The sequence below is a fragment of the Homo sapiens genome, chromosome 1 (assembly GCF_000001405.40).
Source record: "Homo sapiens chromosome 1, GRCh38.p14 Primary Assembly".
NCBI lineage: Eukaryota > Metazoa > Chordata > Mammalia > Primates > Hominidae > Homo > Homo sapiens.
In genome coordinates, this window is record NC_000001.11 from 154,374,201 (window position 1) to 154,390,821 (window position 16,621).

Below are 16,621 nucleotides of genomic sequence, written 5' to 3' on the forward strand. Positions count from 1 at the left end.
ATGCCTGTAATCCCAGCACTGTGGGAGGCTGAGGTGGGTGGATCATCTGAGGTCAGGAGTTTGAGACCAGCCAGGCCAACAAAGTGAAACCCATCTCTACTAAAAATACAAAAATTAGCCGGGGTTAGTGGCAGTTGCCTGTAATCCCAGCTACTCGGGAGGCTGATGCAGGAGAATCACTTGAACCCAGAAGGGAGAGAGGTTGCAGTGAGCCGAGATCGCACCACTACACTCCAGCCTGGGTGACAAGAGCGAAACTCCATCCCCAGCCCCGCAAAAAAGAAGTAGAACATACGAATCTGAAGAGTCCTATATCTGTTAAAGAAATTGGATCTAAAATTTAAAACCTTTCAGTAAAGAAAACTCCAAGCACTAATGACTTCACCAGAGAATCTCCAAACATCTAAGAAAGGAGTCACATTAATCTTACTCAAATTCTTCCAATTCATTTTGGGAGATCAGCAGAACCTTCATAACAGCAACAGAAAAGAATTACAGGCTAATCTCTCTTATGAACATAAATATAAAAATTCTGAACAAAGTAGTAGTAACTACACATTAGATTCTAACCATATACTATATTATAATATTAATCTAATTCTAATAATATTAGATTCCAACTGCATATAAAGAGCTTACTCATTACAATAAACTTGAATTTATTCTAGGAAAGCAAGATTTGTGTAAGAGTTAAAAATTTATGATTTTTGGCTGGGTATGGTGGCTCACAGCTGTAATCCCAGTACTTTGGGAGGCCAAGGCGGGTGGATCACGAGGTCAGGAGTTCAATCGAGAGCAGCCTGGCCAACATGGTGAAACCCCGTCTCTACTAAAAATACAAAAATTAGCCAGGTGTGGTGGTGAGTGCCTGTAATCCCAGCTACTTGGGAGGTTGAGGCAGGAGAATTGCTTGAACCGAGGAGGTGGAGGTTGCAGTGAGCCAAGATTGTGCCATTGCACTCCAGCTCTGGGTGACAGAGCAAGACTCCATCTCAGAAAAAAAAAAAAAATTATGAGTTTTGATTCTGACATTGATGATTCATCATGATAACAGAATAAATGAGAAAAACACATGGCTCTCTCACTGTCTCAATAGATACAGGAAAAGTGTTTCATAAAATGCTATGCCACCTTTAAAAAAAAAAAAAAAAGCTCCCACCTGGTGCTGTGGCTCATGCCTGTAATCCCAGCACTTTGGGAGGCCAAGTGGGGGTGGATCACTTGAGGGCAGGAGTTCGAGACCAGCCTGGCCAGCATGGTGAAACCCCGTCTCTACTAAAAATACAAAAATTAGCTGGTTGTGGTGGTGGGCACCTGTAATTCCAGCTACTTGAAAGGCTGGGGCAGGAGAATGGCTTGAACCCTGGAGATGGAGTTTGCAGTGAGCCAAGATTGCTCCACTGCCCTCCAGCCTGGGCAACAGAGCAAGACTCCATCTCAAAAACAAAACAAAACAAAACTACAGAGTCTATAGATAAACTATTAACATTAATAAATGCATTTGTAAGATTATGGATACAAGAGTGAATAAAAATTCATTATATTTATTTATTTATTTGAGATGGAGTCTCGCTCTGTCACCCAGGCTGGAGTTCAGTGGCGTGATCTTGGCTCACTGCAATCTCCCCCTCCCGGGTTCAAGCCATTCTGCTTCCCTAGCCTCCTGAGTAGCTGGGACTACAGGCAAGTGCCAGCACGCCTGGCTAATTTTTTGTATTTTTAGTAGAGACAGGGTTTCACTGTGTTAGCCAGGATGGTCTCGATCTTCTGACCTCGTGATCCGCCTGCCTCGGCCTCCCAAAGTGCTGGGATTACAGGCGTGAGCCACCGTGCCCGGCCTATATTTCTTTTTTTTTTTTTTTTTAGTGTACTCATTTCATTAGAAAATTAGGTAAACCTCGGATTAGAAAGCCAAAGCAAAATAATTTTGCATGGTTAGAATGTGGTCAAGAAACCAGCTACAATTTAACTGGATTAGACTTCAACACGGTGTTCCCTAAATAACCTTCATTTAGGAATATTACATTCCTCCAGTATCTGGACAGACAATAAATACACTTCCTTTTTTATTTTATGATTGTGATTATTATTTTTTTTTGAGACAGAGTCTCACTGTGTCCCCCAGGCTGGAGTGCAATGGTGCCATCTCAGCTCACTGCAACTTGTCTCCTGGGTTCAAGTAATTCTTGTGCCTCAGGCTCACGAGTAATTGGAATTATAGGAGTGTGCCACCATGCCTGGCTAATTTTTGTATTTTTAGTAGAGACAGGGTTTTCACCATGTTGGCCAAGCTGGTTTCAAACTCCTGATCTCAGGTGATCCGTCTGCCTCGGCCTCCCAAAGTGCTGGGATTACAGGCATGAGCCACTACGCCTGGCTAATAAATACACTTTTTTCTGTCACTGAGGAGGAAATTTTCCCTCTTGATGGGCCGACACTATTTCGTTTTTGCTGCTCTTTATTTTATTTTATTTTTTTTGAGAGGGAGTCTAGCTCTGTCGCCCAGGCTGGAGTGCAGTGGCGCAATCTCGGCTCACTGCAAGCTCCGCCTCCTGGGTTCACGCCATTCTCCTGCCTCAGCCTCCTGAGTAGCTGGGACTACAGGTGCCCGCCACCATGCCCGGCTAATTTTTTTTTTATTTTTAGTAGAGACGGGGTTTCACCGTCTTAGCCAGGATGGTCTCGATCTCCTGACCTCGAGATTCGCCTGCCTCGGCCTCCCAAAGTGCTGGGATTACAGGTGTGAGCCACCACGCCCAGCCCACTGCTCTTTTCTCTTTTCCTTTACTTGGTTTCCCCCTTCCATGGAGCTTCTTTTATTTATTTATTTTCTTTTTTCTTTACAGAGGCAATCAAGTTACACAGAGCTTCTTTAATTTCCCATTTAAAAAAAAAGTGCAGTTCACTGCCAGCACTCATTTAATTTTACATAAACAGGCTCTTTGAGGCTGAAGCAAATCTGTCTGATTTTCAATATGAAAATAAAATATCGAAACTGTTCTTGGAGTTATTTCTGAACAGAGCTAACATCAGAATTGCCTGAATCATCAGAATCATCTATTTAGGAAAAATCCGATTCATCAAATGAATCTTCAGCCAGCAACTGTTCCAGAATGATGTTAACATCACGTGTAGGAATGCTACATTTTCTAGCATTTGACATTTTCAGTGATCGAGAATTACTATATTTTGTAAATGGAAATACCACTACTAGAAACAGAATGCTATGAATAGAATGATGCCTTTTGTTTCCAAAGATGTGATATACTAGAGCGATGTGAAATAATAATAAAAACGAGATATCTCCTGGCAAAGTTATCTCGAGGTAAACACTGCAACCACAAGCACTGCTGGCAAATATTCCTGGGGCAGACAGGAAAAGTGTTAAACACATTTGTTTATCCTTAATTTTTTTTTTTTTTTTGAGAGATGTGGTCTTTTTGTTGGCCAGATTGGTCTCTCTCTCTTTCTTTTTTTTTTGAGACGGAGTTTTGCTCTTATCACCCAGGCTGGAGTGCTGTGGCGCTATCTTGACTCACTGCCACCTCCGCCTCCCGGGTTCAAGCAATTCTCCTGCCTTAGACTCCCAAGTAGCTGGGATTACAGATTCCTGCCACCACGCCCGGCTAATTTTTATATTTTGAGTAGAGACGGGGATTCACCATGTTGGCCAGGCTGGTCTTGAACTCCTGACTTCAGGTGATCCACCCACCTCGGCCTTCAAAAGTGCTAGGATTACAGGCATGAGCCACCGTGCCTGGCTCATCCTTAAAATCTTGATGCTCATCTCTGTAGAGGCCAAGGCATAAGAATGTCCCCATGAGTACAAAATAAGTATTGTAATCTGGATACCAGTCATAAGTCTTCTTCTTGGCCAAAGGCTGTTCACTAAACAGTTTCACCACTTTCTTTTTTTCTTTTTTTTTTTTAGAAACTGATGTTTATTTATTTTCCATCAACCATTTTTCCATGTTGCTTAAGAGCCCATGCAAGAACAGCTTAAGACCATTCAGTGGTTGCTCCTACCCATTCAGTGGCCTGAGCAGTGGGAGCTGCAGACCAGTCTTCCGTGGCAGGCTGAGCGCTCCAGTCTTCAGTAGGGAACTACTGAATAGACACAGAGGGCACCTGCAGACCTTCAGACCAGTCTGCAACCTCAGGCTGAGTAGCAGTGAACTCAGGAGCTGGAGCAGTCCATTCACCCTGAAATTCCTCCTTGGTCACTGCCTCTTCAGCAGCAGCCTGCTCTTCTTTTTCAATCTCTTCAGGATCTCTGTAGAAGCAGAGATCAGGCATGACCTCCCATGGGTGTTCACGGGAAATGGTGCCACGCATGCGCAGAACTTCCTGAGCCAGCATCCACCACATCCAACCCACTGAGTGAGCTCCCTTATTGTTGCATGGGATGGCAATGTCCACATAGCGCAGAGGAGAATCTGTGTTACACAGCGCAATGGTAGGTAAGTTAACATAAGATACCTCCGTGAGAGGCTGGTGGTCAGCCCTGGGGTCAGTAACCACAGGAAGCTGTGGCTCCCGGAAGGCTGCCTGGATCCGGTTAGTGAAGGTTCCAGGAGTGAAGTGGCCAGCAATTGGAGTGGCTCCAGTGGCAGCAGCAAACTTCAGCATGGCCCTCTGGCCAGTATTCCTGGAGGATATAACACTGACATCAGCAGGGTTTTCAATGGCAACAATGGCACGAGCTGCCAGCAGAAGCTTCTCCCAGGTCCTCTTCAGATTTATGATGTAGATGCCATCACTTTTCCTTTTATAGATGTACTGTTCCATCTGGAAGTCAAGATTAGTGCCACCTAAGTGGGTTCCTGCTGCAAGGAACTTAAGGACATCCTCCTCCTTCATTTGCAGGACATCAAGGGCTCTGGACATTGTGAAAATTTCCCTTTAAGTTACAACGGGAATCCAGAACAACACGGTATGGACCCCTCTGTAGGCCGCGCAGAAAAAGCAGTTTCACCACTTTCATAGACTAGGAATCAGCAGGCCAGGCAACTTCACCAAATAGCCAGGCATTCAGAAGAGCACGTGTGCAAGGCACATTCTGAAAGAGAAGACATCTCTTTTTTTTTAAATTTCTTTTTTTAATTAAAAAGTAAACTTTAATGTCAAAAATGCAAACTTGGGGAAGACAGAAAAGATCACACACAAGGCTGTCACTTCACACTTGGAAGGTTGCACAGAGGCCGGGCAGAGGCGCTCCTCACTTCCCAGACGGTGGGGCGGCCGGGCAGTGGTGCTCTTCACTTGCCAGATGGGGCAGAAGCCTGGCAGAGGCGCTCCTCACTTCCCGGACGGTTGGCGGCCAAGCGGAGGCGCTCCTCACTTCCCAGATGGGGCAGCAGCCAGGCAAAGGCGCTCCTCACTTCCCAGACGGTTGGCAGCCGAGCAGAGGCGCTCCTCACTTCCTGGACGGTTGGCAGCCAGGCAGAGGCCCTCCTTACTTCCCAGACAGTTGGCAGCTGGGCAGAGATGCTCCTTACTTCCCAGATGGTTGGCGGCTGGGCAGAGGCGCTCCTCACTTCTCAGACGGTTGGCGGCCAGGCAAAGGCACTCCTCACTTCCCCGGATGGGAGGGCAGCCAGGCAAAGGCACTCCTCACTTCCCAGATGGTTGGCGGCCAGGCAGAGGCACTCCTCACTTCCCAGACAGTTGGCGGCCAAGCAGAGGCGCTCCTCACTTCCCAGATGGGGCAGGAGCCAGGCAAAGGCGATCCTCACTTCCCAGACAGTTGGCGGCCAAGCAGAGGCGCTCCTCACTTCCCAGATGGGGCAGGAGCCAGGCAAAGGCGATCCTCACTTCCCAGACAGTTGGCGGCTGGGCAGAGGCGTTCCTTACTTCCCGGACTGTGGGGAGCTGGGCAGAGGTGCTCCTCACTTCCCAGATGGGGCGGCAGCCAGGCAGAGGCACTCCTCACATCCCAGACAGTGGGGCGGCCGGGCAGAGGCCCTCATCACTTCCCAGATAGTTGGCGGCCAGGCAGAGGCACTCCTCACTAAGGGAAGACATTTCTTAAGCAGCAAGGTGCCAGAGTCCCTGGACCTGACCTTGTTCACCCATGCCAATTAATTGTATTCCCTTTTTTTTTCTTTTGACACAGAGTTTTGCTCTATCACCCAGGCTAAAGTGCACTGGCACAATCTTGGCTCACTGTAACCTCAGCCTCCTGAGCTCAAGCTATCCTCCCCACCTCAGCCTCCCAAGCAACTGGGACTATAGGCAGGTGCCACCAGTCCTGGCTAATTTTTTTATTTTTTGTAGAGATGGGGTTTCCCCGTGTTGCCCAGGCTGATCTCAAACTCCTGGACTCAAGTAATCTACCCACCTTGGCCTCCCAAAGAGCTAGGATTATAGATGTGAACCACTGAGACTAGCCAATTATTTCTGTTTCTATATACTATAAACAATTAGATGTTCTTTTGAATAAATAGTGCTGGAGTTGTTGGATATATATGGAAAAAATAAATATTGACCCCTACCTCACATCATGTACCAAGAAAAATTGATTCAAAACAAATCATAGGCCAAAATGGTCAAGGTAAAACAATATATCTCCTAGAAGAAAACAAGTCTATTTTTATGACCTTGAAGTAGAGAAAGATTTAAAGAAGACACAAAAGTATTAACCATAAAATTAAAATATCAACAGAAAGAAATTTTATTAAAATGAAGAACTTCTGTTTCCTTTTTTTAAAATGTATTTTTATATATCTATTTTTTACTGCTCCTTGTAGAGTAGGGCTAACTCATAGGCAGTGCACCCAGTCAGCCAAGAAGTGATGTATGTTTCTTTCTTTCTTTCTTTCTTTCTTTCTTTCTTTCTTTCTTTCTTTCTCTTTCTTTCTTTCTTTCTTTCTTTCTCTCTCTCTCTCTCTCTCTCTCCCTCCCTCCCTCCCTCCCTCTCTCTCTCTCTCTCTCTCTCTTTCTTTTTGAGATGCAATCTCACTCTGTCACCCAGGCTGAAGTGCAGTGGCGCAATCTCGGCTCACTGCAACCTCTGCCTCCTGGGTTCAAGTGATTCTCCTGCCTCAGCCTCCCAAGTCACTGGGACCACTGCTGCGTGCCACCACACCTAGCTAAATTTTTGTATTTTTAGTAGAGACGGGGTTTCACCACGTTAGCCAGGCTGGACTTGATCTCCTGACCTCATGATCCGCCCGCCTCGGCCTCCCAAAGTGCTGGGATTACAGGCGTGAGCCACCATGCCAGCCCCAGAACTGCTGTTTCTTGTTTTTCTTTTCTTTTTTTTTTTTGAGACGAGTCTTGCTCTGTCGCCCAGGCTGGAGTGCAGTGGCACGATCTCAGCTCACTAAAAGCTCCGCCTCCCAGGTTCACGCCATTCTCCTGCCTCAGCCTCCTGAGTAGCTGGGAATACAGGCACCCACCACCATGCCTGGCTAGATTTTTTTGTATTTTTAGTAGAGATGGGGTTTCACCGTGTTAGCCAGAATGGTCTTGATCTCCTGAACTCGTGATCCACCCACCTTGGCCTCCCAAAGTGCTGGGATTATAGGTGTGAGCCACCGTGCCTGGCCACTGCTGTTTCTTAAAAGTCATCAATGGCCGAGCACGGTGGCCCACGCCTGTAATCCCAGCACTTTGGGAGGCCAAGGCGGGCGGATCACCTGAGGTCAGGAGTTCGAGATCAGTCTGACCAACGTGGAGAAACCTCGTCACTACTAAAAATACAAAATTAGCAGGCCATGGTGGTGCATGCCTGTAATCCCAGCTATTCAGGAGGCTGAGGCAGAAGAATCGCCTGAACCTGGGAGGCAGAGGTTGCAGTGAGCTGAGATCGCGCCACTGCACTCCAGCCTGGGCAACAAGAGCTAAACTCTGTTTCAAAAAGAAAAAAAAAAAGTCATCACTGAGTGAAGATGCAGCTTCACTGGCAGAAGATATTTGAATTACACATACCCAAACAATTTACATTGGAATATATAAATAACTACAAATAAATAAATAAAAGACAAGTAATCCATCTAAAAAATGGGCATAATATTTTAATGGGCATTTCAAAAAAAGATGATATCCAAAGGGACAATAAATATGAAATGTATTTAACCACAGGGAAATGTCATTAAAACCACAAGTAGACACTACTACATAACTAGAAGAACTAAAATAGAATGGCAATACCAAGTGTTGACAAGAATGTGAAGCAACTATGACTTTTATATTTTGCTGGTGGGATTGTAAATTGGTTCATGCACTTTTTAAAAACTTGTTTTAAATATATTTTTAAAGCCGGTCAAATTTAGCAGTGTTTTTGTTTTTTTAAGAGACAGGGTCTCATTATGTTGTCCAGGCTGGTCTCGAACTCCTGGGCTCAAGCCATCCTCCCCCCTTGTACTCCCAAAGTGCTAGGATTACAGACGTGATCACTGACCATGCCTGGTGGGTTCATACACTTTGGAAAACAGTTTGGCAGCATCTACCACTGTATTAGCTAACTACTAAATCTAAAAGTATGCCCACCCTATGACCAGAAAATTCACTTCTTAGGTGAGAGAAGGACGTGCATATGTCCATCAAAAGACAAGTTCAAGATTGTTTACAGCAACATTACTCACAGCAGCCAAAATGTCAAAATAGCTCAAGAGTATCACCTGGAGAATAAACACATTTTATATTCATATAATGAGGTAATATATGGCAATAGAAAGAATGAGCAATAGATAACCCAACAGCATGAATTAATCTCACATTCATTCTGCTGAACAAAATAAGCCAGACACAAAAGGTAACTGTGTGTGACTTCATTTATGCTAGAATCAAGAGAGGCAAAACAAATCCATGGTTAACCTTTGAGGGGGTGGAAGGGTGGGGGTAGGGAGGAACAATCTGTGATGTCTTTATTAGATACGGAAATGTTCTATATCTTGCCAGGCTCAGTGGCTCACACCTGTAATCCCAGCACTTTGGGAAGCCAAGGTGGGCGGATCACCTGAGGTCAGGAGTTAAAGACCAGCCTGACCAACATGGAGAAACCCTGTCTCTACTAAAAATACAAAAATTAGCTGTTCGTGGTGGCACATGCCTGTAATCCCAGCTATTCCGGAGGCTGAGGCAAGAGAATCGCCTGAACCCAGGAGGTGGAAGTTGCGGTGAGCCAAGATTGTGCCATTGCACTCGAGCCTGGGCAACAAGAGTGAAACTCCGTCTGAAAAAAAAAAAAAAAAAAGTTCTATATCTTAATCTGGGTGGTGCTTTCCTGGATGTATTCCTATGCAAAGCTTTATTGAACTATGCACTTCACATTAATGCACTTCACAGCTACGTATAATATATTTTAATAAAAAGGTATATAAAAATACTATTTGGCTGGGTGCCGTGGCTCATGCCTGTAATCCCAGCTCTTTGGGAGGGCAAGGCAGGTGGATCACCTGAGGTCAGGAGTTCAAGACCAGCCTGATAAACATGGTGAAACCCCGTCTCTACTAAAATACAAAAATTAGTCAGGCGTGGTGGTGCACGCTTGTAATCCCAGCTACTCGGGAGTCTGAGGCAGTAGAATCGCTTGAATTTGGGAGATGGAGATTGCAGTGAGTCAAGATGGCACCACTGCACTCCAGCCTGGGTTACAGAGCAAGACTCCATCTCAAAAACAAACAAACAAACAAACAAACATCCCTTTGTGTCCTGTCTCAGACACTATTCCCCATCTCCCCAAAGGTAGCCTGTATCCTGATCCCCAACACTATAGATCATTTTTGCACCTTATATAAATGGAATCATGTAGTATGTACTATTTTGTAACGTGTGCCCGTGTGTCTTTTATGTTCATGAAATTTACCATCACATGCTGTACAAAAATAGGTAGTAGGCCAGATGTGACCTGAGGGCAATGGTTTTCTTTTCCTTTTTCTTTCTTTTTTTTTTTTTTTTTGGAGACAGAGTCTTGCTCTGTCATCCAGGCTGGAGTACAATGGCGTGATCTCGGCTCACTGCATTCTCTGCCTCCCAGGTTCAAGCGATTCTCATGACTCAGCCTCCCGAGTTGCTAGGAATACAGGCGTGAGCTACTACACCTGGATAATTTTTGTATTTTTAGTAGAGATGGGGTTTCACAATGTTGGCCAGGTTGGTCTCGAACTCCTGACCTCAGATGATCTGCCCGCCTCGGCCTCCCAAAGTGCTGGGATTACAGAAGTGAGCCACTGCACCTGGCCCTTTTTTAAGACAAAGTCTCCCTCTATCGCCCAGACTGGAGTGCAGTGGCACTGTGGCTCATGCCTGTAATTCCAGCACTTTTGGAGGCCGAGGTAGGCAGATCACTTGAGGTCAGGAGTTCAAGACCAGCCTGGGCAACATGGTGAAACTCCATCTCTACTAAAAATACAAAAATTAGCTGGGCATGGTGGTGCACGCCTGTAATCCCAGCTACTGGGGAGGCTGAGGCAGGAGAATCGCTTGAAACCGAGAGGCAGAGGTTGCAGCGAGCCGAGATCATGCCACTGCATTCCAGCCCAGGTGACAGAGACCCTGTCTCAAAACAAACAAACAAACAAACGAACCAACCAACCTCCAAATGACGATGCTTGAGCTTTAGCTCAGCTATCTCCAGTTGTCTTTGGGTAATGGGGGTGTCAAGTGGCAATGTTCCAAGTCTGGCTTATCTTGGGGGAACTAAATGGCTGTTATCATTCCCAGGCCTCACATCTACACTCTGCCTGATTCAGAGCAAGGGAGGGGGGTGTCTCCTGTGCCATCCACTGCTCTATCCTCAATCGAACCAAGCCCTTTGACCAGGGAAGTGCTGTGCCCTGTTTGTGCATGCTTGTAGGTACAGGGAAGAGACAGGTGGAGGGAGATCCCCTGACTAGCTTACATCAACCTGGCTCATCTCTGGAATTTGGGATGGAGTTAAACCCAACAACCCCTGGGCCTGCTCCAATGAAGACAGGGAGTGTTTATCAATGAGCAGTGACAATTACTACCTCTCCTGAGAGCAGATGAGTAGGTTTCAGGCATGGGGTTTCTCTAAGTCAGCAAAAAGCACCCGATCCCTAATGACAGAGGAGCAGTGTGTGTTAAATGTGTGTGTGCACATGTGTGAATAATTCAGGGCCCTCTAACCATGAGGCCCGGGACAAGAGCCACACTTGCCCACATGAAGTCAATGCTCTTGTCTGCAAGAACATTGTTTATTGTGGCTGGAGCCCAGATAACAAGGAGAAAGTGGCAAGAGATGAGGCAGGAGAGAAAAGCAGGGTGACTTCTGGAGAACCCTTTTCTCGGTGAAGGGATTTCAGCCTTATTCTGGGAATAAGCCAGAGCCCTGAGGGGTTTTAAGTGGAGGAGAGCCAGCCCCACCCCAACTCAGTGGCTTTAGGGGTCATTCTTCCCATGCTACCATTTCCCATGGTTCAAAGATTAACAATAGGGCTAACTTCCAATTTATTCAATTCTCAGGTTATTTATTCAATAATCTAGTGTTCTTCCTCTCTACTTCCTCCTCTTCAGTACCTTGTTGTGGGTGGAGCTCCAGGAAGAGGATGGGGCGTGGTGCCTAGAGGCGGAAGTGTGTATCTTGATTGTTTAACCTGGGAACCCTGAGGGCAGAGGGCGTAGGGGTTGGGAGAGGAAAGGAAGGCGCTAGGAAGACACTGGAAAGACCCCATAAGCGTAGCAGCTCCTAAACCACAGCTAAGCATGTCTGGAGGAGAAGCCTGAATCCGAAAGCAATGAGGAAATGATTAGTGGTTTCATAGTAGGTTGTCTGTAGCTGCAGACACACAGGCGTTTTTGTACACAGGTAAATACAGGCCTGTTCTGTTATTGACCACACGTTTGTATGAAGCTCCAAACTCATGTGTCCTCCTGTTCTCCTGTTTTTTTTTTTTTTTTTGAGACGGAGTTTCGCTCTTGTTGTCCAGGCTAGAGTGCAATGGCACGATCTCGGCTCACGGCAAACTCCACCTCCCAGGTTCAAGCGATTCTCCTGCCTCAGCCTCCTGAGTAGGTGGGATTACAGGCACGCGCCACCATGCCTGGGTAATTTTTGTATTTTTAGTAGAGACGAGGCTTCACTATGTTGACCAGGCTGGTCTCAAACTCCTGACCTTAGGTGATCCACCTACCTCAGCCTCCCAAAGTGCTGGAATTACAGGTGTGAGCAACTGTGCCTGGCCTCTCTGAAGTATTATTTGATATTTTTCTTTTGAAGTTTTCTTCTTCCTGTGTAGAAACTATTTCTGCAAATTGCTTTTCAGTCTGCTTTTTGCTCATTTGTTTTTATCTTCCATGTCTGAGGTTTTTTTCAGCTGTCTGGTGATCTTTGACTGATTATTTATAAGACAGGCAAATATCAGTTAAGTCCTTACAGTAAACATATGGTTTACTCAAGTTAGGATTATTTTAGGAGGATTTCTTTACAAAATGGCCATTTACAAAGACAGAGTATAGGAGAGCTATAACCTTTGGTTGAGAGACACAGGCAGCCTAAGAGAGGAACCCTCTAAGAGAAGAACCAGAGGAACAGATATCTTGATCTCACGCTCCTCCTCCCTCTGGTCTTCCGGGTTCTGCGTTGTCTAGACCAACTGCTAGTCAGAGGGTGTGGGGTATTGCTCATGTGGTCTCTTCCTGGAATACCCCCAGTGCAGAGGGCCAGGCAGCGTGGGTGGGGAGTAGCAAAGAGAAAGCTCTGACATGGGAACGAAGGCGCTGATTGGAAGCTCACATGGTGGGCATCTGGACGGGACTGTTTGCTGGGGGAGTCCCCACATGTCTGGATCTTTAGGTCTTTCGTCTGGGGCCAGTCAGGTTACCCAGAGAAGAATCTCCTTCTAGGAGGGAACAGGCCAGCCTGCCAGTGTTCTGGCCCCCGAAAGGAGGCAGAGGGCTGTGGGTCTTAGCCTGGGGCATTTGGCATACGCAGTCCCTTAGTTCCCGAGTTTACAAGCCATAGCCATGCTGTCAAATGTGCCTGGTATCACCCAGTTCAGAGACTCTCTGTTTTATCCTGTACAGAGAACAAGCTTGCAGATTTCTGTGGGAGGGAGGGAGGGGTAGTTACTCAGTAATGAAGGGTGCTTCTCAAACAGCTTTCAACCAGTCCTCCTTGTTTGCACACTCACACACTCAGAGACACACAAACTCAGTTCCAGAGGTACTTGGAGCTGCCAGTTCATGAGCGTTTTGAGGATTTTATGAATAGATGGGTTGCTTCTCAGTTTTCTCTGCTGGTCATTTAGGATTTGGCCTTTTTTGTTTTTTTTTTTTGTTTGTTTTTTTGGTTTTTTTTGAGACAATAGTCTCGCTCTGTCGCCCAGGCTGGAGTGCAGTGGCATGATCTTGGCTCACTACAACCTCCACCTCCCGGGTTCAAGAGATTTTCCTGCCTCAGCCTCCCGAGTAGCTGCAGCTAGAGGCATGCACCACCCCACCCAGCTAATTTTTGTATTTTTAGTAGCGAGGGAGTTTCACCATGTTGGCCAGGCTGGTCTTGAACTCCTGACTTCAAATGATTCACCGCCTCAGCCTCCTAGAGTGCTGGGATTATAGGCGTGAGCCACTGTGCCTGGCCAGGATTTGGGTATTTCAAGTTGGCTACATCAGTTGTCACCTAAACCCAGAGGGTTTTTTGGTTCCTGGGGTACATCTGGAATTTTCAAATCTTCTTTGGCTGAAACACAGTATATTTGAGAGAGGACTCAGAAGAAAGAGGAAGAAAAGGCATCATGGGGCCAGACTGGTAAGTGTTTGAGTAGATTGTACTTTTTTCTTTTTTTGAGACGGAGTTTTGCTCTTGTTGCCCAGGATGGAGTGCAATGGTGCAATCTTGGCTCACCGTAACCTCCGCCTCCCAGGTTCAAGCGATACTCCTGCCTCAGCCTCCTGAGTAGCTGGGATTACAGGTATGTGCCACCACGCCGGGCTAATTTTGTATTTTTAGTAGAGACGGGGTTTCACCATGTTGGTCAGGCTGGTCTTGAACTCCAGACCTCAGGTGATCTGCCCGCCTCGGCTTCCCAAAGTGCTGGGATTACAGGCGTGAGCCCCCGCACCTGGCTGAGTAGATTGTACTTAACTCTAGAGACCATGGGCTTAGGGGTGGGAAATAGCAACTGAGGTCTAGGTACATGGGTCCTTTGAGAAGTTTATTCTCTATTAGGTCCCAATTTTCTTTTTTCTTTTTTTTTTGAGACAGAGCCTCGCTCTGTCGCCCAGGCTGGAGTGCAGTGGCACAATCTTGGCCAAACCCGTCTGAGTCCCAATTTTTATTGCTTCCTATATGATGCCTCAATAGGGTGTGTGGAAACAGTAAACTATAAAGTGCTGTACTAATGTAATGCTTTATTTTTTGAATGCAGCCAGAATTTTCCTGTGTCTTTGCTCATACTGTTGCTTCTGCTTGGAGTTTTCTCTATCTTCTCCCTCACCTCTCCAATCCATCCATCTCTACTTATAGAAATGATATCTTTGGCCGGGTGTGGTGGCTCATGCCTGTAATCCCAGCACTTTGGGAGGCTGAGGCGGGTGGATCACAAGGTCAGGAGTTCAAGACCAGCCTGGCCAAGATGGTGAAACCCCGTCTCTACTTAAAATACAAAAACTTAGCTGGGCGTGGTGGCGCCTGTAATCCCAGCTACTTGGGAGGCTGAGGCAGAGAATTGCTTGAACCTGGGAGGATGGAGGTTGCCGTGAGCCGAGATCACGCCACTGGACTCCAGCCTGGGCGACAGAGTGAGACTCCATCTAAACAAACAAAAAAAAGAAATGATACCTTTAAGGCCCAGCTGAAGGTCAACTCTACTATGAGTCTGCTGCCCTCAAACTAAATGAGAACTTTCAAACTTTAATGATGGCCATTTTTTTCTCACCTCCATTCCTGCCCACCTGTATTAGTAAAGGTTCTCCAGAGAAATAGAATATATATTTATCTTCTATATATACGTATGAATATACAGAATATATATCTTCTGTATATATAGAATATACATCTTATATATAAATACATATCTATATGTTATAGATACATATCTTCTGTATATATAGAATATATATCTTCTCTCTATATACTATATAAAACATATTATATTAATAGGTAATATTTTATATATATATAAAGGAATTGGTTTGTGCAATTACGGAGGCTTTTTTTACTGGTAAATCCAAAGATCTGTAGGGTGAGTCTGCAAGCTGGAAACCTAGGAGAGCTGATGGTGGAGTTCCAGCCTGAAGGGTGAAAGTCTTGACACTCAGGAAGAGCTGATGTTCAGTTCAAAGGTAGGAAAAAGCCAATGTTCTCTGTTTCAAAGGCAGTCAGGCAGGAAGAATTCTTACTCGGGGAAGAGTCAGACTTTATGCTCTATTCAGGCCTTCAACTGATTGGATGAGAACTATCCACATTAGGGAGGACAATGTGCTTTACTCAGTTTAATTATTTAAAAAAAATTTAAATTATTTATTAATTTATTTATTTGGGACAGGGTCTCACTCTGTTGCCCAGGTTAGAGTGCAATGGCACGATCTCAGCTCACTGTAACCTCCACTTCCTGGGTTCAAGTGATTCTCCTGCCTCAGCCTCCCAAGTAGCTGGGATTACAGGCACCCACCACCACTCCCAGCTAATTTTGTATTTTTAGTAGAAATGTGGTTTCACTGGCCAGGCGTGGTGGCTCACAGCTGTAATCCCAGGACTTTGGGGGGCCAAGGCAGGCAGATCATGAGGTCAGGAGTTCGAGACCAGCCTGACCAACATGGTGAAACCCCATCTCTACTAAAAATACAAAAATTAGCTGGGTGCGGTGGTACACACCTGTAATCCCAGCTACTCAGGAGGCAGAGGCAGGAGAATTGCTTGAACCCGGGAGGCGGAGGTTACAGTGAGCCAGGATCTTGCCATTGCACTCCAGCCTGGGCAACAGAGCGAGACTCCATCTCAAAAAAAAAAAAAAAAAAGAAAGAAATCTTTCACCATGTTGGCCAGGCTGGTGTGGAACTCCTGACTTCAGGTGATCCGCCTGCCTTGGCCTCCCAACGTGCTGGGATTACAGGCATGAACCACTGCGCCCAGCTTTTTTTTCTTATTTTTTTTTTTTTTTTGAGATAGGGACTCTGTCACCCAGGCTGGAGTGCAGTGGCATGATCTCAGCTCACTGCAACCTCCACCTCCCAGGCTCAGGTGATCCTCCCACCTCAGCCTCCTGGGTAGCTGAAACCACAGGCGCATACCACCGTGCCTGGCTAATTGCTGTATTTTTTTGTAGAGATGTGGTTTTGCCATTTTGCCCAGGCTGGTCTCGAGATCTTGAACTCCTGGGCTCAAGGGATCCACCTATCTCAGCCTCCCAAACTGCTGGGATTACAGGTGTAAACCACCACACCTGGCCTAAATGTTAACCTCATCCAAAAACACCCTTACAGGCTGGGTGCGGTGATTTATGCCTGTAATCCCAGCACTTTGGGAGGCAGAGGTGGGTGGATTACTTGAGGTCAGGAGTTTGAGACCAGCCTGGCCAACATGGTGAAACCCCGTCTCTACTAATAATACAAAAATTAGCCAGGCATGGTGGCGAACGCTTGTAATCCCAGCTACTTGGGAGGCTGAGACAGGAGAATGGCTTGAACCCAGGAGGCGGCAGTTGCAGTGAGCCAA

The 16,621-nt window shown here is 46.1% G+C and overlaps 2 pseudogenes, besides 2 other annotated features; both read right to left on the minus strand.

Moving 5' to 3' along the window:
* Positions 3,320-3,520: a silencer, noted in NCBI's record as "peak418 fragment used in MPRA reporter construct". NCBI's record gives its function as "represses an SCP1 promoter by STARR-seq MPRAs in K562 erythroleukemia cells {active_cell/tissue: K562}" and the evidence as "EXISTENCE:reporter gene assay evidence [ECO:0000049][PMID:32103011]".
* MRPS33P1 (mitochondrial ribosomal protein S33 pseudogene 1) lies at positions 3,652-4,018 on the minus strand (annotated as a pseudogene).
* On the minus strand, positions 3,926-4,964 carry RPSAP17 (ribosomal protein SA pseudogene 17; annotated as a pseudogene).
* Positions 12,544-12,753: an enhancer, noted in NCBI's record as "active region_1778". NCBI's record gives its function as "activates an Ori minimal core promoter by ATAC-STARR-seq in GM12878 lymphoblastoid cells {active_cell/tissue: GM12878}" and the evidence as "EXISTENCE:reporter gene assay evidence [ECO:0000049][PMID:35858748]".